We start from the raw sequence: 22,439 nt of genomic DNA on the forward strand, positions 1-22,439 counted from the left end.
AACAACACTGTTTGGGGCAGGGTATTTCCATAAGTGTCTATTCGGTGCCCACTGTGGAGATTTAGAGGTGAGTAAGACAAAGGTTCTTCCCTCAAGGGGCTTTCTTATGGTGGCAGGAGTAAAATGAGAATACAAATTATTACAAAACAAGGTAGAATATGCCAGAAATTGGAAGTGTTAATATTGAAAAAAAGAAAGCACATTCTCTCAAAGAAGATATGAGAAAGCCTTCATGGAGGGAAGGGTATCTGATGTGGGGTGTTGAAGAACAAACAGGATGTTAATAAACATAAATAAAAAGAAAACCTTTCTTGTTGGGGGAGTAGAATGAGCAAAAACATGAGAACAGAAGAATTCAGAAAGAATCGGGAAGAGAACAAGTGGTCCAGTTTGGCTAGATCAGAGAAATGTGAGGAAAAGGTGGGATGTAAATCTGTACAGACAAGGTGGGGCCATATTGGGCAATATCTCCAGCATCAGGCTGAGAAATCTGTTTATGACAGATGGGAAGCAGAGGTCAAAAACTTCAAAGATTATTTTATTCATCCAGTGTTAGGGTAGGAACGAAAATAAGAAGAAAAAAAAAGAAAGAAATACAGATATTTGAAAAAAAAGAAAAGTTGCCCCAAAGTAGGTAACTATTTAAATGAGAAAGGGAGAAGTCTAAAGAATACTCTCATTGTTTTCAGCTTCAATGACTATGAGGCTATTGCTCCCTTTATCAGAAGTAAGGAAATCAGAGGGGAAAAAATGGTTTGCTGAAGGAAGTGATGCTTTTAGCTTTGAATATGTTGAGACTGAAGGTGCTAAGTCAACATCCAAGTGGACATGTTTCACTGGCAGTAGAAACGCAGGAGAGAAATTGGATACTAAACACAGAGATCTGTCCAGTGTCTATTAATAACAGCTGAAGCCATGAAAATGAATGATTTCCCAGGGATATATAATTGACAGAGAAAAGAATTAAAGAAAACATTTCACTGGAGAGCTAACCAGGATTCCATTCTGTGTTAAACAGTCATTGTTATTCCATGATTACAGGCAAAAATACATGAAATTCATTTCCCCATGCCTCAATGGCTTTGGTGGGGACAATCTACAACTTGGTATCAATCGTTATAATATACGTGACTCCTAAGGCCCTGAAGGTCCAAGCCATGCAAATATCCTCTCTAGCCTGTTTCTGTGAGACTCACACACTCTTCTTGAGTAGCCACCCTTTGTCCCACTGTTATTTTTCTTCATTCTATAATTTGGTGAAGTCTGTTAGCATCCATTTCTTTTCTTGATTCAGTTTTTCATTCATTCATCAATAAATATTCATTGAGTAACCTACTATGTGCCAGGCACTATTCCAGGCACTGAAGAATCAACAATGAAAAAAATTCTCAAAGAGCTTACATTCCAGTGGAAGGGACAAATAACAAACCAATCAATAAACCATAATATTGTAAATATCAGAGAAGTGAAGGTCATGAAGGAAAATAAATCTGGCTAAGGGACTCAAGTGAAGTAAGCTGCACTTTATACAGCTGGGTGATCTGGGAAGGTCTCTGAAGAAGAAACATTTGAGCAGAGACCTAATATTTCCAGGCAATGAGAACAGTAAGTGCAAAGGCCTTAGAGTAAGAGTGTGCTTGGCTAAGAGATCAGCATATCTGGAGCATAGTAAGCAAAAGCAAGAAAGATAGGAGATGAGGTCAGAGAGTCATGGGAGCTAGACCATGCAGGGCCTCACAGGCCATGTTAAGGAATTTTTACTTTAAGTATGTTGGAAATCCAATGAAGGATTTTGAGTGGTAGAGTAACGTATGAAAGGCTCTGCAAAATCCAGTGGTCATCCCCCTAAAAAATAAAAAATTTTAAAAATAATTTTTTTAAAGCTCAACTTTGTTTAACCCAGCATTTTCCAAATTCATTTGACGATGACTAGAGCAATGTTTTTCATGGGACCTATTAATAATCCATAGAACATATACTTTGGGATGTGATAGCCCTAGAACAGTGCTTCTCAAATTTTAACCTGCATAAGAATCACTTGGAGAGTTTGTTAAAATACAGATTCTTGGAGCCCAACCCCAGAGATGCTGAGTCAGTAGGTCCAGCAGGAGGCTGGAAAATTTACATTTCTAGTAAGTTCTCAGGTAATACTAATGCTGCTAATCCATGGACTACAATTTAAGTAGTATTGCCTATGACAAAGAGATTAATACATAAATACAAAACTAGAGATGTGGTTAACAAAGGAATTCAGGCAAATTCAACTGTGCCTGTCCTTTTTACCTGTTTTACCTCTTCACATTGCTAGAAGCAATATGAGAGCATCAGATACTTTCTTTCATCTATGAAAAATAGGCCATAGATCAAAGCCTGACTTTAAGATGGTTTTTTCCTAGAGTAAGACATACTTTCTCACCTTCTTGGTCCTCCCTTGTTGCCATATCATTGGTAATCCAACTGATTAATGAGGACCATGTAAGTTTCCAGAAAAGACCACTTGGTTGGGCTCGGTTCCATTGGCATAAACAATTCTATTAGTCTTTTTTTAGGGACCGGAGGAAATGTTGCCAGTAGCAGAAAATTAATACACTCTCTAATACAATGATTATTGTACTTGAGCACCACCAGCAACAATTTCAAAAACACTTCTGGGCCTTGGTCTCAATAAGAATCATGACAAACTCCATCTTATCCCCAAGCAATCAGAGCTTTCCAAGAGGAAGTTTATCATAACTACTTCCTCCATCAGGCATCTGGCCACTAAGCATTTAATGACACCTTATATAGGAACTTCCAAGGGCCTGCTACAGTGGTCCTAAGCCTCTCTAAGAAGGATGCTAAGCATTATTTTTTTCTATAAGTAGGAAATTCTATTCATAGGTAGTTACATAGTAAAGGGTCAAGAGATACACTAAGCATTTCTGAGAAAGGAGAGAATGTTTTTGGAAATTCAGTCAGAACTCAGAAAATTTTAATAACCACATGGGAATTCTAATGAAACTTAAAAAGGTGTGAATTATGGGAATATGTAAATTATAATAGAATAAAGCATTGCACTATATTTCAGTTTGACTTGTATAAGTCATCCCTGTCCCCATGAAAGAATTTGAGATTTGGCAAACTGACCTTGTTCCTGCCAGTGGCCTAAGTGAATCATAAATAACTTGCTAACCAGCTATGGAAACTGCATCTGTGCCTATTCCAGCACTGCATAGATCTAGCAAAGACAAAATGATAAAGGAGCTTAGTTCTCTGTCTCCTGGAATAAGGTCTAGACTGTAGCAAACCCACAGGCTATTCCTTCACAGGATTACTTGTGGGGTCAAGATAAATTGTCCTATTGGAGGATGTTATGAGATCAGGTTGAGGAAGACTGAGCTGGGGCAAAATGAATTCACCAAAAATCCACTCCTCTTTCCACAGCCTGAAGGTTGACACTCTACCATCCTTTGGGTGGGAGCAGGATAGGACCCCTTTGCAATAATAAAGCATGTTCCTGGGGTCCTACAAGCATTACTATTTACAAAGTTCCCAGGAACAGAAGGAAAAGCAGCATCATGAGCCCTTAGAAACTTTATCAGGTGACGTGGCCCCTTGAGGACTTGCCTAGCCTGCACAGAGGAGGTCACCCTGCCCTGACCTTGTGGGTGCTCACAACTGACAGCCGGCCTATGACAAGGAAAGTTGGCCTTTGTTGATTTCCTTGGCTTTATGATTTAAACCAATTGGACTAGAAAGACAAAAAAAAAAACTAGGGAATTTTAAAAAATAATAGTTTGAGGCCTGGTATATATTTCATTTACTGAGCTTCTGCTATATGCCAGGTACTGTGCTGGGACTGAACCATACAGACATTAATAAGGCACCATCTGCCCATCACAAGCTCAAAATCCATTAGAGGATACAGGTATCCCTACCGATATTCTTCATAAAACGAAAGCACTCCTATAAGAGGCAGGCTATTGAGTTTCAAAGGAAAGACATCTAATTCTTCCTTACAGAGATAATACTTGAGCTGTATCTTGAAGGATAAACAGACATTCAGAATGGGAAAGAAAAGGCAGGCAGAAAAGGAAAACATTTTAAGCAGAAGGGACAGTATGTACAAAAGCTCAGAGACCTGCAGCCTGATTAAGTACACTCTTAATAGCTCATTGTGATGGATGCTTAAGGCATCTGAGGAAAAGTGACAGAGGATGAAGCTAAAAGTTTAAAAGATCAAAATCATACATGGCTACTTATATAACACTAAGAGGGTATGACTTTATCCCGTAGGCAATAGGAAGCAAAGAAAAGATTTTAAGAAAAGGGATGATGTGGTCTTATTAGATTTTGACAGCTCATGGAGGACTGATTGCAAGAGAGTAAAAAACAAATAAATCAGGCTGACACTGGATATCATGAGACAATTAAACAATTAAGAGACTACCTCATGGGTCCACCTGGTCATATCTCACAGGTCCATGAGTCCAAACCAAGGCAGCCTTGGTGGGGGTATAGAAGAGAGAGCAGAGAGATGAGGAATTTAGGAGTTAAAATGATGGAACTTTGTGATTGATTGGATGTGGTTGAAGAGCAAGATGAAGGAGCCAGAGAGTCTGAATAAGAGTGCCGAGACGGATAATGTTACCGTCTACTGAAATGGGCCATAGGAAGGAGGAACAGGTTTAGGGCAGGGGAGTGATGGTGAGGTCAGTATGACAAATGATGAGTTTTGAGGAACCTATGGAATATCTAGGCAGTGAGCCTAATGAAATCCAGGCCACAGGCTTGCAAGAAATGGCATAGTGTCAACCTTCATCCCTAATACCCATTTTACATGATTTAAGAGATCATTCCTTTATTCCACCTGTCAACTCATTCACTACTAGGAATCTTTAGAGGGGCACCTTGTGCCCCAGTTCTTTCTGACACCTTGGCAAAGACTCATTGAACTAAATGGACCCCAGGAGGTTATCTTGTTGATTCCTTGGCTTCCAAACTAGGCCACATGGCCCAGACTGATTAGGATTTTAGTGAGTTAGATATCCTTAGGAAGAATATTTTAATTCCAGTCCTGTTCTAATATTCTAATCACTACCACTAAATGCCTCATTCTTTCAGGGTAGTAAAAAGGTGTGGCAGAAGGACAAACATTTATTTTGTATCAGGTATGTGCCATATGCTGTGCTGGGCACTTTATATACATTGTATTACTTAATCCTAGGTAGGCATTATAATCCCTGTGTTAGAGATGAGAAAAGTGAGACTCCCAGAGGTCACGTGCCCACTGTCACACAGGTGGTGAGTGGCAGAAGTATGGTTCAAACCCAGGTCCGTCAGATGGCTAAGCCCATGTACTTTCCACTGTACTATATTCCTAGTGTTGATGCCAACCTTATGTTAGTCTGCCACTATCTTATGTAGAAAAAAGAGGGAGAAAAATACCATAGAAAATTAGTCTTAGTCTGTGAATTATTAACAAATCATGTGGTCCAGCTAATGACATTATTGTAGCCTTATACCATTTTATCCGTAAAATGCATGAGATTCACATTTTTAAAAATTAGAAGCTTCCAGTCTGTCTTTCTTGCCTCAGTTATGGCTACCAAATGTATCATTGCTAAACCACAAAAGACTATGTTAAAGTAACATTTGTTAAAGTAACATTAAAGGGTCTGGATTTAAAAAAAAAAAAAAAAAAACCACAAGAGCGGGGAAACTGAAGCGTTATAGTTGAAACCTCCTCATAACTCACTTGTGGTGCATGGCATGGACAGTGTGGGTGCTGTGAGACCACCCACTGATCCAGGCTCCCACCACAGGGACACAACAAGAGAAAGCTGTGAACACCCCGGCTTGTAAGAATTCAGATCAGACTGATAGTGTTTCTTTTAAAGAAGTTATTCAGTGCCTCTCCCTATTTTTCCAGTCATATTTTAGAAAGGGGAAAAAAAACAATTTTTTTTTTTTACCTCTTGGTTCAGAAAGGCAGGGTTTGAGACACTTCACTCTTGTCACTTTCCAGCCAAGAGAGGACATCTGTCAAGTGCTAACAGGACATAATCCCTCCTTGAAAGGCATAAAGACACATTCAGGGAGCTACTAGGGTCAAGAGTAAGCTAAAAAGTCATTGAGATTCCTTCCTGTGGAGCTGCCAGGAAATATTATAGACCTGAAACACCTTTCCAAACAGGAAAATCAAGCCCACAGTAAAGGAAAGACAATGGAGAAAAGAGGAGCCTTCGGGTGAAGGGTCTGCCTCTTCAGATCCATTCATGCATTTATTTATTTATTCATTTGGTCAATAAACCTTAATTGAGAAGCTACAATGTTCCATGTTTCAAGGACATAAAAATTAATAGGAGGCATAGTTCCTGCCCTCAAAGAAATCACAATCTAATGCCAAGGCAGTAAAGTAAACACATAAGTACAATGTAGTAGGATAAGTGTCATGAAATGTTTAGAAACAAATGCTCTAGGAGCACAAAAGAGGGAGAAACTAGTTCCACCTGGCAGGGAGATGTCAGTGAAAACTTTGCTGAGGAGAAAACATTTACCGTGAATCTTCAAGTATCACAAGTTGACCTGGAGGTATTAGTAAAGAAAGGTATGTGAGGAGGAGGAAAAGGCATGTTTCAAAGCATGGAAGTATAAAAGGACTCATAATAAGTTCAGCTTGACCAAAGCTTAGGGTTGATGAGGAACTAGGGCTGGAAGGTGGCAGCATGAGGGAAGGTATGACTGAAAATATTCTCAAATCCTAGATCACAGGGAGTTTTCCTTATGGAGAGATGTTTGGATTTTGTCCTCAGGTCCAGAGGGAGCTCTGTAGAAGTCTTTAAGCAGGGAAATAGTATGAGAATTCGATCATTTGGGAGAAGCTCCATAGCTTGTCATTTACTGAGAGGGCATATGAAATCAGTTCTCTGTGTCAGGCAAAAAAAAGTGCTAAACAGAGCAGAGAAGATGAGAAGGAAGGATCTGACACCACAGAGAAAAATCAAACCAGGACAGAGGCCTCCTGAGTTGAGAAAAACCTCCTTGAAATGAGGCATAGCTGGAGTAAGGATGGATCACTCACACTCTCACCCCATTCTTCTCTTCTACTTCCATGGAAGGAAAGACAGAGCACACTGCCCTGGCATTCACCTAAGATTTATCCCCAGAGAAAAAAAAGCAAGGAAGTAGTAGCCAGTGGTAACATGGGAATTGTAGGGTGGACAAAAATCTCTCAATATGCAGAAAAGTAGGGCTTCCTCATTGAGGTGTAGAGATGACCAATGCCCCATTTTGAGGTAGTGTGGTTTTAGCTTCCCTAAATGGCCAGATCTGGGTCTCAGGAATCAACATCTAATTACTACCTGTAATTACTACCTGTAATTAGATGTTCTTCCTAGAATTCCTCACTAAAGAAGCCAGAATAAAAATGTTTCAACAGACTTGTTGGGTTGTAACAGCCCTATTTCCAAAGCATGGAACACACTGGTACAGGCCAGAGGTAAACAGAGTAAAAGAGGTTCTTGAAGAATGAGTCTCCAAATTCATCAATGCCCTGGAAGAAACCAGTACTATGATAGTCTGAATCAGGGTGCTTTCCTCATCCTACTAGAATCCAAAGTTACGGTATAAGATCAGAGCTGGTCAGAGAAGTACAGGAAATCTGACCATCTCAAGCTGCCTATACCAGGCTCAATCCTACACTGCTCTGTTCCTCCTGAAAAAAGGAAATGATGGAGACGAAGGCTGGACTCTTTCCTGTGATATCTGTCCAATTATCTGTTGAGAGAAGAAAACCAAGTCTGCTGAAGACAAGAAATGGTCTGTCCAAGCAACAGCTCATATCATCCATCCAGAGGGGCCAAGAAGCGGAGAGGCAGAAGAGGATCAAAGCCTATCATAATAGGCCCTTGGGGAAGTTTTGTAGTCAGACCAAAGACACTCTGAGAAAAGCATGTCTTCTGTCTTCTGGGGGTTCTGGCCTTGGAAAGGAGTAGGCAAGATATGTACTGGAAATCAGACATGAAAACCAAAACTAGGTTTCAAATTGCTACTTGGCTTTTTTTCTTTAAAGTGATAAGCAAGCTTATTTTCCCAGTATGTGTGTGTATATGTGTGTGTGTACACACACACACTCAATCAGCCCCAACTTTAGGGAAAAGTCCACATAACTGCAGCTTTAGCCAACCCCACTTCCCCATACCTTACTAGGAGTTGGTAAACCTTAAAAGGGAATACTGTCTGACTAAAGCCAGACAACTGGCCCCTTAAGAGCACATTTATAATTTATTTATGGCTTAATATTTTCCACTGATAGGATTAATAAATCATGTTTTCATTCAACTTGTTTTCTCTGAGGTATGAATTTCTCTATTTTGATACCAGATCTTAACATGTTTTATTTTGCTTGTCCATTTTCCAGTTCATTTTTGCAGCTACAGAGAGAAATTTATTAGTCTGTATTGCCGCCTTTCTGCTGTTGTGGAGCTGGATTCTCTGAACACCCAACAGTCCCTCAGGGAAGCAATCTCAGACAGCGAGGTTGCAGCTGCCAAACAAAGACACCAGCAAGTTTTAGATTTCATTCAGGTAATTGTTTGTTCCTTCTGGGGTAAAAGGAAGGGAGAAGAGGCAGGGTGGAAAGGGTGAAAAGCCAAGCATGGGAAAGGACAGCAGTCCAGGCTGATTCAAAGAACACGGTGTGTAAGTTGCCTATTGAGTTGGTTAAAATGTGGAGCTCAGGCAGATAAGTTTTCAAACAAAGCCTTAAGAAAAAGTTACAGATAATTCACAATATTACTAAGAAATGTTATCAGTCACCATGGTGGGTAGTGGTAGCTTTCCATACGGGAGAGAAAAATCACCCCCCAGAAGCAGTAACTAGAATATTATTCTTACCTTGTAGCCCATTGACAATTCTAATGGAAAGAAAAATTGTATTAATTAATTCAATATCTCAGAGAAAAAGAAAATAAAATGACCTACCAGTTTATGTTAACCCAGATCCAATTAGAACTAAAATTCCTCATGTTTTGGGCTTCTTTCTCACAGAATTGACACTTTAATATGTGGCTGTTAAGATCAGAAAATGTGTTCCCCTTCCCATGGTCTTTTCTGGTAAAGCCTATGGTAACACCTCAGGGTCTTGTGAAAGGGGTACTGACTAGTAATCAAGAGAATTTGGATCTGGCCTGAAATTGCCTCTGAATCCCTTAGCCAAATCTTTCAATCTTTCTGTCCATCAGTTACTCAATTCACAAAATGAGTAGAATAGCAATAGCCCCATGATAAATATCACTATGATACATATTCAGTTCAATTTGATAAACCTTTATTAAACAACCAGGTGTCAGACACTGTGTGCGAGACATAAAGTTGAATTAGACATGGTCTCTGATCTTAAGGAGTTTCAAATCCATCAGGGTAGATAAGAAATGTGTGTAAATACAATTTGTAAAATGTGCTAGGTGCCAAAAAAAAGATATACCAAAGCAAAACAAACAAACAAACAAATAAGTTTTGTGTCAGCACAAGAAAGTAAAAATTTACTTTCACTTGTATCAGAAACATTCCCATGAAGGATGTAATTGATATATAGCCTGGCCTACAAGGATAGGTTAGATTACAGTAAGGTGAAACAGAATGTAGAGCATTCAAAGAGAAAGTATAAACAGATGAGGCAGACAGAGCAGAAAAATAGTATTTGGGGAATGATAAATAGTCAAGATTGGTTGGGGCATAAATTGAGTGATGAGAGGTAGAAATTAGGCAAGAAGGAAAGATGTCAATGATAGCAGATCACAAGGGCTTTATTAAAAGCCATAGTTAAGAAATCTGTACTTTTTTTCTGTAGGCAGTAGGGAGCTACCCAAAGTTTTGAAGAAAGTTAAGTCACAGGCTCTCAAAACTCTGTTTAGGATAGATTCAAGCAGTGAGGATACTCTTCCCATATAATTGGTACAGCCATACTGGTTGTTTATTATAAGCATTCACTCTTATTGGTCATGCTCACCAAATAAGGATTTGAGAAGACTAAAGGCAGAGAAACCAAATAAGAAGCTATTATAACTATCCAGACAATTTGTTATGAGGACTTAAGATGAACGAACGCTGTGAACTTTGGGCAAAGAAATCTCTCTCAGTCCCAACAGTCCCAATCTCCTCATCTGTAAAATAGGGATGATAATAATAGGGTTATCTCATAATGTTACTGAGAGAATTCAATGAGATAATACATATAAAACACTCGGCAAAATGCCTGGCACATAGTAAGTATGTAATACATTATATATTCATTCATTCACAAGAAGGAGAAATTCTTTGACATATGAATATGTGAGATTCGAGGTGTTTGAAACACTCAGGAAGAAAATATTGTAATTTACTTGCAAAGTGGAGAGCAGAAAAATCTTTAGGATTATCCTACTTTCCTCATCCCGTGAATGAGATATCTTAGGTGACCTCTCAGAATAGAGAAAGAACTTTCAAGAAGTTACTTTCTCCATTGGTCTGAGAATGTAGAATTTAAACATTCAAAACATTTACTTCATTGATTTCATTTCCAGTAAAAATGGAACACAGATGGTGGGGAAGGGGTGGGAAAAGGAAGAGTGTAGCATGAGGAGAATACGAAAGACTGGCTCATTTTTGAACCCCATATAAAGGATAGTGGAGCATAGTAAGAATAACAACAGATCAGAAGCTGGTCCCAGAGGAGGTTGGGAGGCTGAGATGGTAGGATCTCTTGAGCCCAGAAGTTCAAGACCAGCCTGGGCAACACAGTGAGACTCCATCTCTATTAAATAAAAATAAAAAATAAAAAGAAGTCAAGGAGCACACATTTTTAGTCCCAAATCTTCTGATAAACTCTGGAGTACTGGACAATTCATTTGATCTCTGGGGACCTCAATTTCCTCATATGTAAAATGAAAGAACTGGACTAGATGACTTCTGTGGGTCTAATTGGCTCTAACGTTTTATGACTTAACAACCAGAGATATTTTTAGAGGAACACTTCTCTACCCATGCCTTAGGTTCTGTTTCTGCCTTATTCCACTTATGCCTCCCTGAATCCAGTATGTTCCTCCAACAAGGAGGCTGACTTTCTTCAGTCTGTTGTGTTCTCAAACTCCTCCCAGAGTTCCCTGGCTTTATTCCTACTCCCTGACTACTACCCTTGCTCCTTTCTTTTTCATGTAGCCTAGGGCTCCACTGCCTTTTTCTCTTCTTTTATGTCACACCATTAAGTGGGTTGGATAAAGGCAGGCCAGGCTGGGAATTCTTCAAAGTTCTAGCCCGCTCTGGTCTCCCAAAGCAGGTAACTTGAGAGCCCTCTCTACATACTTCCCTTCCAGTCAGCCAGGTACACACAGACTTGGATAAAAGCCAATTCTCAAAGGGTTCAAAATATAACTTCTTGGTCTGGGTAAAACAAGACCATCTCCCTACACCCATAGCCTTCAATGAACCACCTTGCTTCTCCCAACATGGATAACTTCACTGAGTGGAGACAATTCAATATCATCTCTCCCTTTATGTTGACTTTGTGGTCTCTCTCTCTCTCTCTCTCTCTCACTCACTCACTCACTCTGTCTCTCAAAATGAAAACCAGCTGTAGCCACTCACCCATTGGTGTTCACAGCTCAGCCCACCACACACCATAACCTGCAGAAGTGACCGCCAGTTGTGAGAGCATTTGTATGATTCCAGATCTAAGACAGTGTTGAAGTCACTACACAAACCAAACATTGTAAAGAGCAAGGGAGTCTATGTAAATACAGTTAGGAAAAGAAGCCAAGGAGTGCGGCCAGAAAGGGGGAGGCCTGGGCCACGGGAGGTGTAGAAAATCATAGATAAGGCATACAGGCTTTATAGACAGCACATGCAGCAGAAATGTCAAAGTGTGAAGACCTGGAGCTTGGCATATTTTGAGCTGCTAAAGCCTAAAGGGCAATTAGGCTATAATTTATATACTGTAATGCTTCAAATGCTCCTAAGCTGTAATAGAAACACAGCTCATTAAATATAGCCAATCTATCATCCCCTTGAGCACCTTGTAGCTGTGCTGTGAGAAAACCAATCACCTTTACATTTTAATAAAAATATTATCTTGCCTGAGTAAAGAGAAAGGAATATAATTTACGAGATGAAAACTGAAATTTTTAAGGGGCAGGGTGAGAAATGGATGCATAACTTTTAATCAACAGACCTAGGGAATTCATGGTCTTTCTTTTTTAAAATGTGTCAGCAAGTCTTTAGAAGGTGAATTTGGACCTTAAAATCAGGGGGATTATGTTGTCAGTTACTTTTAGATCAGCAGTATAAGGTAAAATGGGTGAAAATTGGCCTTCTTTTGGAGCAATTAGCTAAGTCTCATTAAACTCAATCCACAGGCCTCCCTATACCCATATGGTTTTTAAGTTTTTTCTTCAGTTAAGACCTCTTCACGTCACTGAGAAAAATTAAGAAGTAAATATTGTTTCTACATACTTTTAAAAAAATTTCTACGCTAAATCCCTCTATTCATCCTCAGCAATAAAGCTGAAACAATCTTATCCAAAGAGAGCAGGTAGATTATTTATTAATAATTATATTGGCCTCCTAGGGTTGCTGTAACAAATTCCCATAAACTGGGTGGCTTAAAATAACAGAAATGTATTCCCTCACAGCTCTGGAGACCAGAGGTTTGAAATTAAAGTGTTGGCAAGGCCACACTCCCTCTGGAGGCTCTAGAGGAGAATCTAGTCTCTGCCTCTTCAGTTTCTGATGGCTGTTAGCATTCCTTGACTTCTGGCCACATCATTTCACTCTTTCTGTACTCACGTTGCCTCCTTCTCTTATGTCTGACAAATCTCCCTCTGCCTCACTCTTATAAGAATGTCCTTATGAGGACATCTGTTGTTAGAATTAGGATCCACAGAGAAAATCCAAGATAAACGCCTCCTCTCAAAATCCTAAACTTAATCATATCTTTTGCCATATAAAGTAATATTTACTTCGTATCATATCAAATAATATTCACAGGTTCTGGAGCTTAAGATATGGATGTATTATGGGGGGTTCCATATTCAGCCCACTACAGTAATCATGATTGTCATTATAAAAACTGAAAATTTTATAATATGTAATTGATAAAGTACACTTATCTATATTATCTTACTTAATCCTTATAATAACTCTGTTTGTGGGTAGAGATCTAAAGAATTAGATCATTCATTCATTCATTAAACAGTCATTTTTTGAGTACATACCTACTCTGCAAAGCTGAAAGCAAAAAAATACCAAAACACAATCCCTGTCCTTGTCGGGCACTCTAAAAGCTATCCACAGTCATGCGGTGCCTTTAAAATAACTTTCAACAAGCTTATGTTGCATGAGGTAGGGCCAGTAAAAGCCAGCTGAGAGAACAACAATCTCACTGGGAAAATTCATCTGAGTCTCATCTGGGATTCCCACTTTGGCTTTATCCCCAGACTTTAGATTTCTCCCTTCAAAATGGCTTAGTGTCTCCTCATGGGCCTGCCTACTGCTGAACTTCCTGCCCAACTGACCAAGCTAAAAAAGCCTGAAGCTCAATCTCATGCTTTCATCACTGGCCCTGAATACTCTGCTGAGTCTTGTCACCACAGGAGTGGCAAGAACTAGAAAGCAGGGGAAAACGGCTGTAAGACCATACACTGCCATTCACTAGTTCACTCTAGCTAGCTTTTCACTCAACTTGGCGGACTGAATGTCAGACCTACTGTGTGTTTGTTGGGAGGACCAGGTTTGTGGATATTCTTAATGAGTAGGTTTTAAGTACAGATTAAAGGCCTATCAAGAAATTTTGAAAATAAAATATAACACTGGGTAGTGTTTTAGTTTTAAAACTTCCACAATCAGAGAGAGAGATTAACCTTGCATGACTCACATAATGAATACCTTCTATCTGGAAGTTAGGTAATACCAAATTTCCAAATGTTCCTGAAAAATAAATCCTAAAGTTTCAGAGCTGGAAGGGAACTTAAGCATCATGTAGACTAACTACCTCTTCTTACAGTTGAGTAAATGGGCCCCAAGAAGTTAATGGCTTGCCCAAGTCATCGAGTGAAATTAAATAGAAAGCCTACTACAAATTCCAGGGTCATAAGAAAAAATATGTTTAACCAACAGCCCCTCCTTGAGATGGAATAACAAAAAAGCTCATGGCCCATGTCTATCAAGATCTGGAAAACTTTCGTCATCTATATATACAGAGAGACACAAAAATCTGAGTGAATTTTATGCAAATAGGCTTCAAGGAAACTACTATTGTACTTTATAATGAAAATATCATTAAAATGACTTTGATAACCCAAAAATCAAAATGGAACAACCTAAAATGGACTACTCTAGAAATGTAAGGATGTTTAAATTATTTAAGATTAAACTGTTAAGGCCGTTTTGAACTTTAGAAGCCCTTACTCTATATGTAAGAAAGTAGTAAGTCTAATATATGAAGTTAATTATTTTCTATTAACATAGGTCCAAAAACCTCTACTTAGCAAAAATATTCCAGTAGAGCTTTGCTTTTCTAGTTCACATATAAGAACTAGGACTACATTTCTTTCTTAAGATATTCTGAAATTCAGGCTTTATCATATGCCTTCACAATATCTTAATGAGGAATATTTAATTATAATCTGGGATATAATAACCCTTTATATGTATGAGCAATGTACCCTGAGGCATCACAAAGCACTTTCGAATTCATTATTTCAACTAATCATCCCAGCAACCCTGGGAGGTATAAATGGAAAATGTTTTGGCCACATTTTACAAATAAAGCAACTAAGGCTCAAAAAGGTCAAGTGACTTGCTATGAGTTAGTATAGTGCTAATAAGTGATATATTCCAGCTAGCATCTAAGTCTTCTACTATTTTCACTAAATGACAGAGCTTCTCTGGTAAAAATACGCAAAACAAAAAATATTACAAAAAGAGAGGTATTTTCTGGCTTAACAAATCTATGTTAAAAATATTTTACTCTTGCTCAAAGCCAATATTGCGGAAAATGGATCATCTTGGACTCTCAGGGAAATGTATTCCTTTTTAATCACTGCTTGATAACTTAGTGTCTTTTACCATTTTATTCCAAAGCAAATAGATGAAGTCTGGCGTGAAATGAGATGGATCATGGATGCTCTACAGTATGCAAGATACAAACAACCAGTTTCTGGCTTGCCCATCACTAAGCTGATAGACCCCTCAGATGAGCAGAGCCTAAAGAAGATCAATTCTACATCATCATCACATATAGACTGTCTTCCATCCCCACCCCCATCCCCAGAGATGCACAGAAGAAAGACAGTGAGTGGTAAGCAATGAGATCTGAAGTTCTGTTGTTTAGTCCCTGGACTTTTGATCCTCTCTTCACTGATGAGGACTTTTATGCTGAGGTATTGGTTCCAGAAAGTGGATGAAAACACTGCTCAGGGGTAAGAGTCTAACAGCATAGAGGAAACAAAATCAGAATAGTAGAGGAATAGGAAAACTAGAGCAGTAACCTAAGATCAATGCCATTTAGGGACAGGGAAGAGTCATTCCAGTTCTAGGTCACACTTACAAGATGCAAAAGGATATAAAACAGGGATACAGCTTCAAAGATGCAGACTGGGGACCACTGTGATGCCAAGTGAGGGCCACAAAAGCCAAGGGAATCTGAGCAAGACAAACTAAGGAAAGAGAACAGGCCCAACCTCTATTAAATAGCATCTGACAAGAACGAGGCAGGAAACAGGCCCAAACCTGGGTGAGAGTTTGGGAAAAACTTCCCATCCATATAGCACAATGTTCTAGAGTGGAAGGTGGGAAAGAGAGAAACCTTGGATAAACTAGAATCCTGAAACTGAGTCCATGTAAGTAGCTTGGCCTCATCATGGACATAATGAACTTTAAACAAGCTGGAGAAGATACCTAGCAAGGCACCTCTCCACCCTTGAGTATGAAGTCTAACAGCAAAAACCTGACTGGGTTAATATGAATTTCTACAAAATACCTCTATGCTTATAAGCAGAAAGAAAGCATACTAGGTAAAGGCAATAAAAAGCTCTTAGCCATGCTAAGGCTAGTGCCATTTTCTAGTCAATTAAAGTAATGGCGATTCAAAGCATCTTTCTTGATTCTATAGTTTGCAAGAGCTCCAATTTTGTAAGCTTCATAATATTTTTAATAAATAGGCCTGATTTGTGGATTTGTCCCATAGGGGGCAGCATGGTGTAACAGAAAGAGCTTGCACTTAGAAATCAGAGACCTGGATTCAAATCCCAGCTTTGTTTTACTAGCTGTATGAGCTTGAACAGATTACTACATCTGACACTCAGTTTCCATGTATGTAAAATGAGAATAATACCTATACCTTGAAGAGTTACTTGTGAATAAGGTAAACTATATCAATGATGCATGTCATATAATAGACAATATATTGTCAATACCCTATTTAATGTTATTTTTATTATAGAAAACTTTACTGGGAATCTGAGCCTTTTCTATGAGTAAGTTTGTGTCTGCACCTATATTTTTAAAACTCCAATGTGTAAAGTCAAAACTTGGCAAGTGGAAGAACTTAGGAGACAGCTAATTTACATTACCAAAGGAGTCTATGACTTACCAAATAACAAAATATTTAAGTAGAGTTTCTAGAGTGCATTTTTATAGACTGCCACTGGGCTAGAGATACAAATCAAATATCATCTCTGCCAGAAGTTAGGCTAATAAGAGAAACAGATATATTAACAAAAAATTACCTGGTAATTGCCTACCTGCTATGAAGTTATCAGTATTAAACTCTTATGATCAAAGAGAGCCTCCTGGAGGAGATGACAGAATCTGGTATGAAGGATAAGCAGGAGTTGAGCAGAAAAACAGGAAAGAGAAGAGCATTATAGGCAGAGAAAGCAGATTGTACAACTGTTTGTAGTTTAGGGAATTGCAAGCAGTTTGGCTGAAACTCAGGATCTAAGAACATTGTTCATTCTTTTCTTTCTATTTAAAAACTATATATTTACTGGCCACCCTCTATGTGCCAGGCTCTCTTCGAAGTAACAGGGATACAGTGATACATAAAGCAAAATATCTGCTCCCATAGAGCATACTTACATTCTAGAAACAGGGACAAAGAGTGAAAACATAAACAAACAAGATAATTTCAGATCGTGAAAATTCCAGTGTATAATACAAAACAGCAGTAGGGGTGGGAGTAGGCAGGAAGTGTGTTGAATTCACTAGGATGATGATCAGCAGAGACCTATCTGGAAAGATGACATTTGAACCAACCCCAGAAGAAGAAGCTAGTAATGCAGAGTTCTGGAGTTGGAATATTCCAGACAATAAAACAGCAAAAGGCCCTGAGGTAGGTGAGGGACAGAAAGAAGGCCAAGATCTTTGACACACAGTGAACAAAAGGGCGGATCGTGAGAGACAGGGTAGAGAGCAAGACAGAAGCCAGAAGCCAGAGTAGGCAGGGTTCTGCTGGTCATAGTAAAAAGTCTGGATTTTATCCCGCTTGTGATGGAAAGCCATTGGAAACTTTTAAGCAAGGATTGATATAATCTGATCTGTAAAATCAAATCTGGTTGCTGTATGAAGAGACCATAAGGGAAAATTATTGAAGCAGGGAGGCAACTTAGAAAGTTATTAACAAAGGAGACACCAAGTTTTCTGGCTTGGGTGCCTCATGGTATCATGATGGCACTTGCCAAAAAAAAAGGTAAGAGAGAAGGAAAAACAAGCTTGGGTGGTTGGGCATGTTGAATTTGCGTTGGCTTTGGAACATTCCGTAAAAAAGAAACATTCAGGAGAAAACAAGCTGCATGGAGTCTAGAACTCAGGAAAGAAAACTGAGCTAATATTATAGATTTAAGAATTTGTTTACATGTGAATGATGTTTGAAGCTAGGAAAATGCTTGGGATTCCCTGGAAAGAGGAGGTAGAATAAGAAGAGGAGACTGTGGAAGGATCCCTGTGGAATGGAGCATCAAGACCTATTAGACTAAGAAGGAACAACCAGAGAAAGAAGATTAAAAAAACAAGAGAGTAGTGGCACAGAATCAAAATGTGTAGAGAAAGGTTAAATTCAAAACCTGAAAAGCTTCAGTTGTTTTGCTTTTCTCAACAAGGAAGTCATCAGTGATCTAGATGAGAGCAGTTTTTGAAAAGAAAGAAATAGAAACTGAACAGAAGCTAATCAGGGATTAAATGAGAGGTAAAGAAGTAGGACAGGAATTTTCACTCTTTTAAAATCTTGGCTGCAAAAGGGAAGAAGGAGGGAAGGTAGTAGCTAGAGAAGTGTAGGGTTGAAAGGGCATTTTTTAAGGCAGGAAAGCTATGTATGCTACGATGTCCCACAATTTGTTTAACTCTACAAACAACTCTTCATTTCTATTTCCACCTTCGCAGCCCCTGTCTGCCCTCTCAGCTCACAGAACCTTCCCAGTGTTTAATCTTCTCTTGGCCACAGGGTTCTTAGTGGATTCCTCCCTGGCTGTATGAGGGTGGCCTTCTCTATGCCACAGAAGTGCCAAACTCTCACGTTGGCCTGAAGACGGGTTGCACCACTCCCTGCTAAGAGGATCTGGCCAATTACATTCAGATTTTATTATTAACTTAAAATGTGAGCGATCATCATTCTGTTTCTTAAAATATAACGCTCTCTTGGGTCCATTTACTTCTTGGAAGCCAAGATTCCATGAGCTATGAAACACAAAGATGTGGAAAGCAGCAAATGACAAATGGAACCTAATGATGGGGAAGTGCTGTTGAAAACTGGGGAGAAACATTTAGTGTCCTACCCCTCACAAAAGCAGAAGCATTTCAGAGCAATGAAATCTGTCACTGCATTCTCTGTCCTTCCCACAAGTGTGACCACTTTGAATTGTTCAAAAGCCATTTATGAAAAGGGGGAAATGCAATTTAGAAGAACATACCTGCTGGGTTACCCAGAGGGCAAAGTTTGCAGCATAATTCCATTCTGTGTGTATAGGATTCACTAACTTCAAAGGAGCCTGCTAGAAATATAGAGCCTATCACAAACCTAGCCTCTGATGCCAGCCCAAGATTCTGTTTTAAGGCTGTTGAGTATCTTGAATTGGTTTGTGTATATCTTTTGGGAGTAGGTGGATGGAGAATGGAACTCTTTCGCTTACTTCCCATTTCTGTGTGGTTTTCAAAACACAAAGTAGAACTCCTGTGCGTCAATTAAAATTAAGCATCTCTCAAGGACCCAAGGGGGAAAGTTGGCTTCTAGAAAATGCAGCTCAAGGCAGGGAGTGGAATGATTTGGTCCATCACATGGGTATTTTGGTGTTTTCTCTCCCGCTCCTTTTCTGTGGATATAGTGGTCACAGGCAGCAGCAATTTTTTTTTTTTCCAATACTGCTGTTTCTCCTAGTGACACATGGGTGAGGCAATAGAGGGGAGGGGGGTGTTGTTTCCTTCAGATGCATTTGAAGGTTATCCTGATCTTCCAAATGTAAATCTTGGTAACCTTTTTCCAGATGATGTTAAGAGTACTATGGCATAAAATACACAGCTCAAAAAAATCAACAAGAATCTGGAGATATTATTTCTCTTGGGATATCAGAAGGTGAACAAACCCCGGAGGTTCTACTGAAGGCCTGATGAAAGATTCAATAAAAGTCTTCATTTATAAATTATTTAAAGTCTACTCAAACACAGTGGAAATAAATTCACTGAAGCACAAATTTCATATATATATATATATATATATATATATATATATATATATATAGACAGTGGTACATTAAAACTGTGAAGATAGATTTTTGGGCAAATATGGATTATTATTCTTTTCTTTCTGTTCTGCCATGCCCCCTGCCTTTAAGAAAAAAGCAATAGCTTTAAGTCAATTATTCTTTCCTGAAATGTCATCTCCCCATAACGCCCTCAAAATCCACATCAACTCTACTCTGCTGTTGTTGGCCTGACCCACAGAGACCAGGAGTTACAACACTCATTACAATGGCAAGAAAGCCAAGCTTCCTAAGCCAGCACTAATACTATGAGCAGAACTTTCATCAAACAGCTCCTGGGTCAACCAGAGGGGAAATTCAAGGTTTTACCAGTCCTGGCCTGCCCAGTGGGCCCTCTCAGGGAAATTGAGGAGCATAAGCAAGTTTATTAAAATAACAACTGGGCAAGGTGCCTACAGTGGTTAATGGAGCATATGGCCTGAATCTGGGGATGGAAGCTGCACTTTGCATTCTTTTCCAGGAAGGGAGGGAGCAGCAGTGGCCTAAGTCCTTGGAAACTCTCCTCAGTGCCCTGGCTGGCATCCTGGAGATTTTCCCAGACTGTTCTGGGAGGGGTATCCCACTCTAAGCAATAGGTTCCACTAAGTCTTCTAATAAATAATACAATCACCATGCAAGTCAAATATTTAGATTCCCACTACAGCAGTGTTTCCCAAGTGTGGGTCCATGAACCAAGGAGATAATATTTACCCCTTAATATTCAAGCTCTTTTGTATCTCCTTCCTAGGTTACCATGATTATAACTAGGTCTTCTCTTGAAATCAAGAGAAGCTTTAAGTCAATAGTCTTTCCTGAAATGTCATCTCCCCATCTTTCCTGAAATGAAATCTCCTATCTCTCATGTTCTGGGAGCTACAGGAAATCAGTTATATCACTCACTAATTCACTCTAAAATGTAGTTTAGGAAATCTACTGGACTAGATCATCACCAGCAGAAGATACCATACAAGAAATTATTATTCACCTTTATTATCAACAGCATTCTCACCTTGAAGTATATCTGATTACTGGTTTATATTTTAATGATCTTAATATGTTATTCTCTATTTAGGGTGAAGAGAATTTCAATATTAATATCTTCTGTTTTTAAGGCACTTAAAGCATCTTTTTTTTCTTTTTTATGAGGCAGAGATTTACTCTGTTGCCCAGGCTGGAGTGCAGTGGCACAAATTTGGCTCACTGCAACCTCTGACTCCCAGGTTCAAGTGATTCTCGTGCTCAGCCTCCCGAGTAGCTGGGATTACAGGTGCCCACCACCACACCTGGCTAATTTTTGGATTTTTTTTTTTTTTTTTTTTTTTAGTAAACACAGGGTTGCATCAGGTTGGCCAGGCTGGTCTCGAACTCCTGACCTCAAGTGATCCACCCGCCTCGGCCTCCCAAAGTGCTGGGATTACAGGTGTGAGCCACCGCACCCAGCCCACTTAAAGTATCTTTGACAAACTAAATTACTCCTCATAGTACTTATTCATAGTACCAGTTCACAGAAGCTAAATGATTTGCTCAAGATCATATATGCAGTAGTTAGCAAGACAGGACTTCAGTCCAGGTTTCTCTAATTTTAAGACAATTGTTCTTTCTGCTATATTTGGGCTGGCTCTTCAGTCAAATATCAGCAAAGATAAAGCAAAATTATCTGGGTGATTGTTTCAGGAATCAATGGTAGATTAAGTAAATTAGATCCTTTCAGGATGCGTTGCTTTTAGTATTATTTCTAAGAGACAGTCAAATATCACTATTCGTTATGCTCCCAGATTTCAATATTTGTTTCAGTTTCAATTCCACTCAACATGCTTTACTGAGAGCCTTCTATGTACCATTTATAGCACAAGAGGTTACTAATACAATGATGATTAAGACACAGTGTAGTTGGGAGGTCTTCATAGTCCACTCATATGTCCATGTTCAGACTATATGATCTGGGAAATACAAAAGATTCTACACATCCCTTTGCTTAATTTGTTCCTTAGTCCATTCCTTTGTTGACTGACTTATTCAATATTTACTAAGCAGAGATGAGTAAGACATACATACTGCATGCTCTCTAGAGTTCATGGTCCAATGAGGAAGACAAATAGGAAAATGGATAATTTATAATAAAACTTGGTAAATGCAGTTACAGAGATATAAATACAATGCTCTAAGAGGCAAAAGAACTGAGCAACTAACTCCACCTGGGGAAAACAATACAGGCTTTCCTTGAGAGACTGGGTCTTAAAATATGATACTCCATTAAAATATTACACTGTCAGCTCATTTAAGGCACATTTCGTATACTCCTTAGTCCCCTCCAAACAGTATGTTCTCACTATTCGTATGTTGGGAGATCAAAATACAGACAGATTTTGCAAAGTGCTTGACTATGGACTGAAAGTGTTGCAAACTTCAGTGGTTGCTTCCAGTTCTAGTAATTTTTACTATCAGTCTTCTACTGGCCCCCAAAAACTATGTCCATGTCTGAACCCTCATAACCTATGAAAGTGACATTATTTGTTTTTTTTGTTTGTTTGTTTATTTGTTTTTTATTATACTTTAAGTTCTAGGGTACATGTGCACGACGTGCAAGTTTGTTACATATGTATACATGCGCCATGTTGGTGTGCTGCACCCATTAACTCGTCATTTATATTAGTTATATCTCCTGATGCTATCCCTCCCCCCTCCCACCACCCC

The 22,439-nt window shown here is 39.0% G+C and overlaps 1 protein-coding gene across 15 annotated transcripts in view; it reads left to right on the forward strand.

Annotated features, from left to right (window-relative positions):
• Positions 1-22,439, forward strand: part of ANKFN1 (ankyrin repeat and fibronectin type III domain containing 1) — a 470,940-nt gene that overhangs the window by 437,709 nt on the left and 10,792 nt on the right. For all 15 annotated transcript variants that reach the window (XM_047435502.1, XM_017024263.2, XM_011524430.3 and 12 more), the window contains 2 exons: positions 8,402-8,568; positions 15,097-15,313. In XM_047435502.1, the coding sequence (XP_047291458.1) occupies positions 8,402-8,568; positions 15,097-15,313 (384 nt within the window). The remainder of the gene's footprint in view (positions 1-8,401; positions 8,569-15,096; positions 15,314-22,439) is intronic.

This window comes from Homo sapiens, chromosome 17, assembly GCF_000001405.40.
Source record: "Homo sapiens chromosome 17, GRCh38.p14 Primary Assembly".
Taxonomy (NCBI): domain Eukaryota; kingdom Metazoa; phylum Chordata; class Mammalia; order Primates; family Hominidae; genus Homo; species Homo sapiens.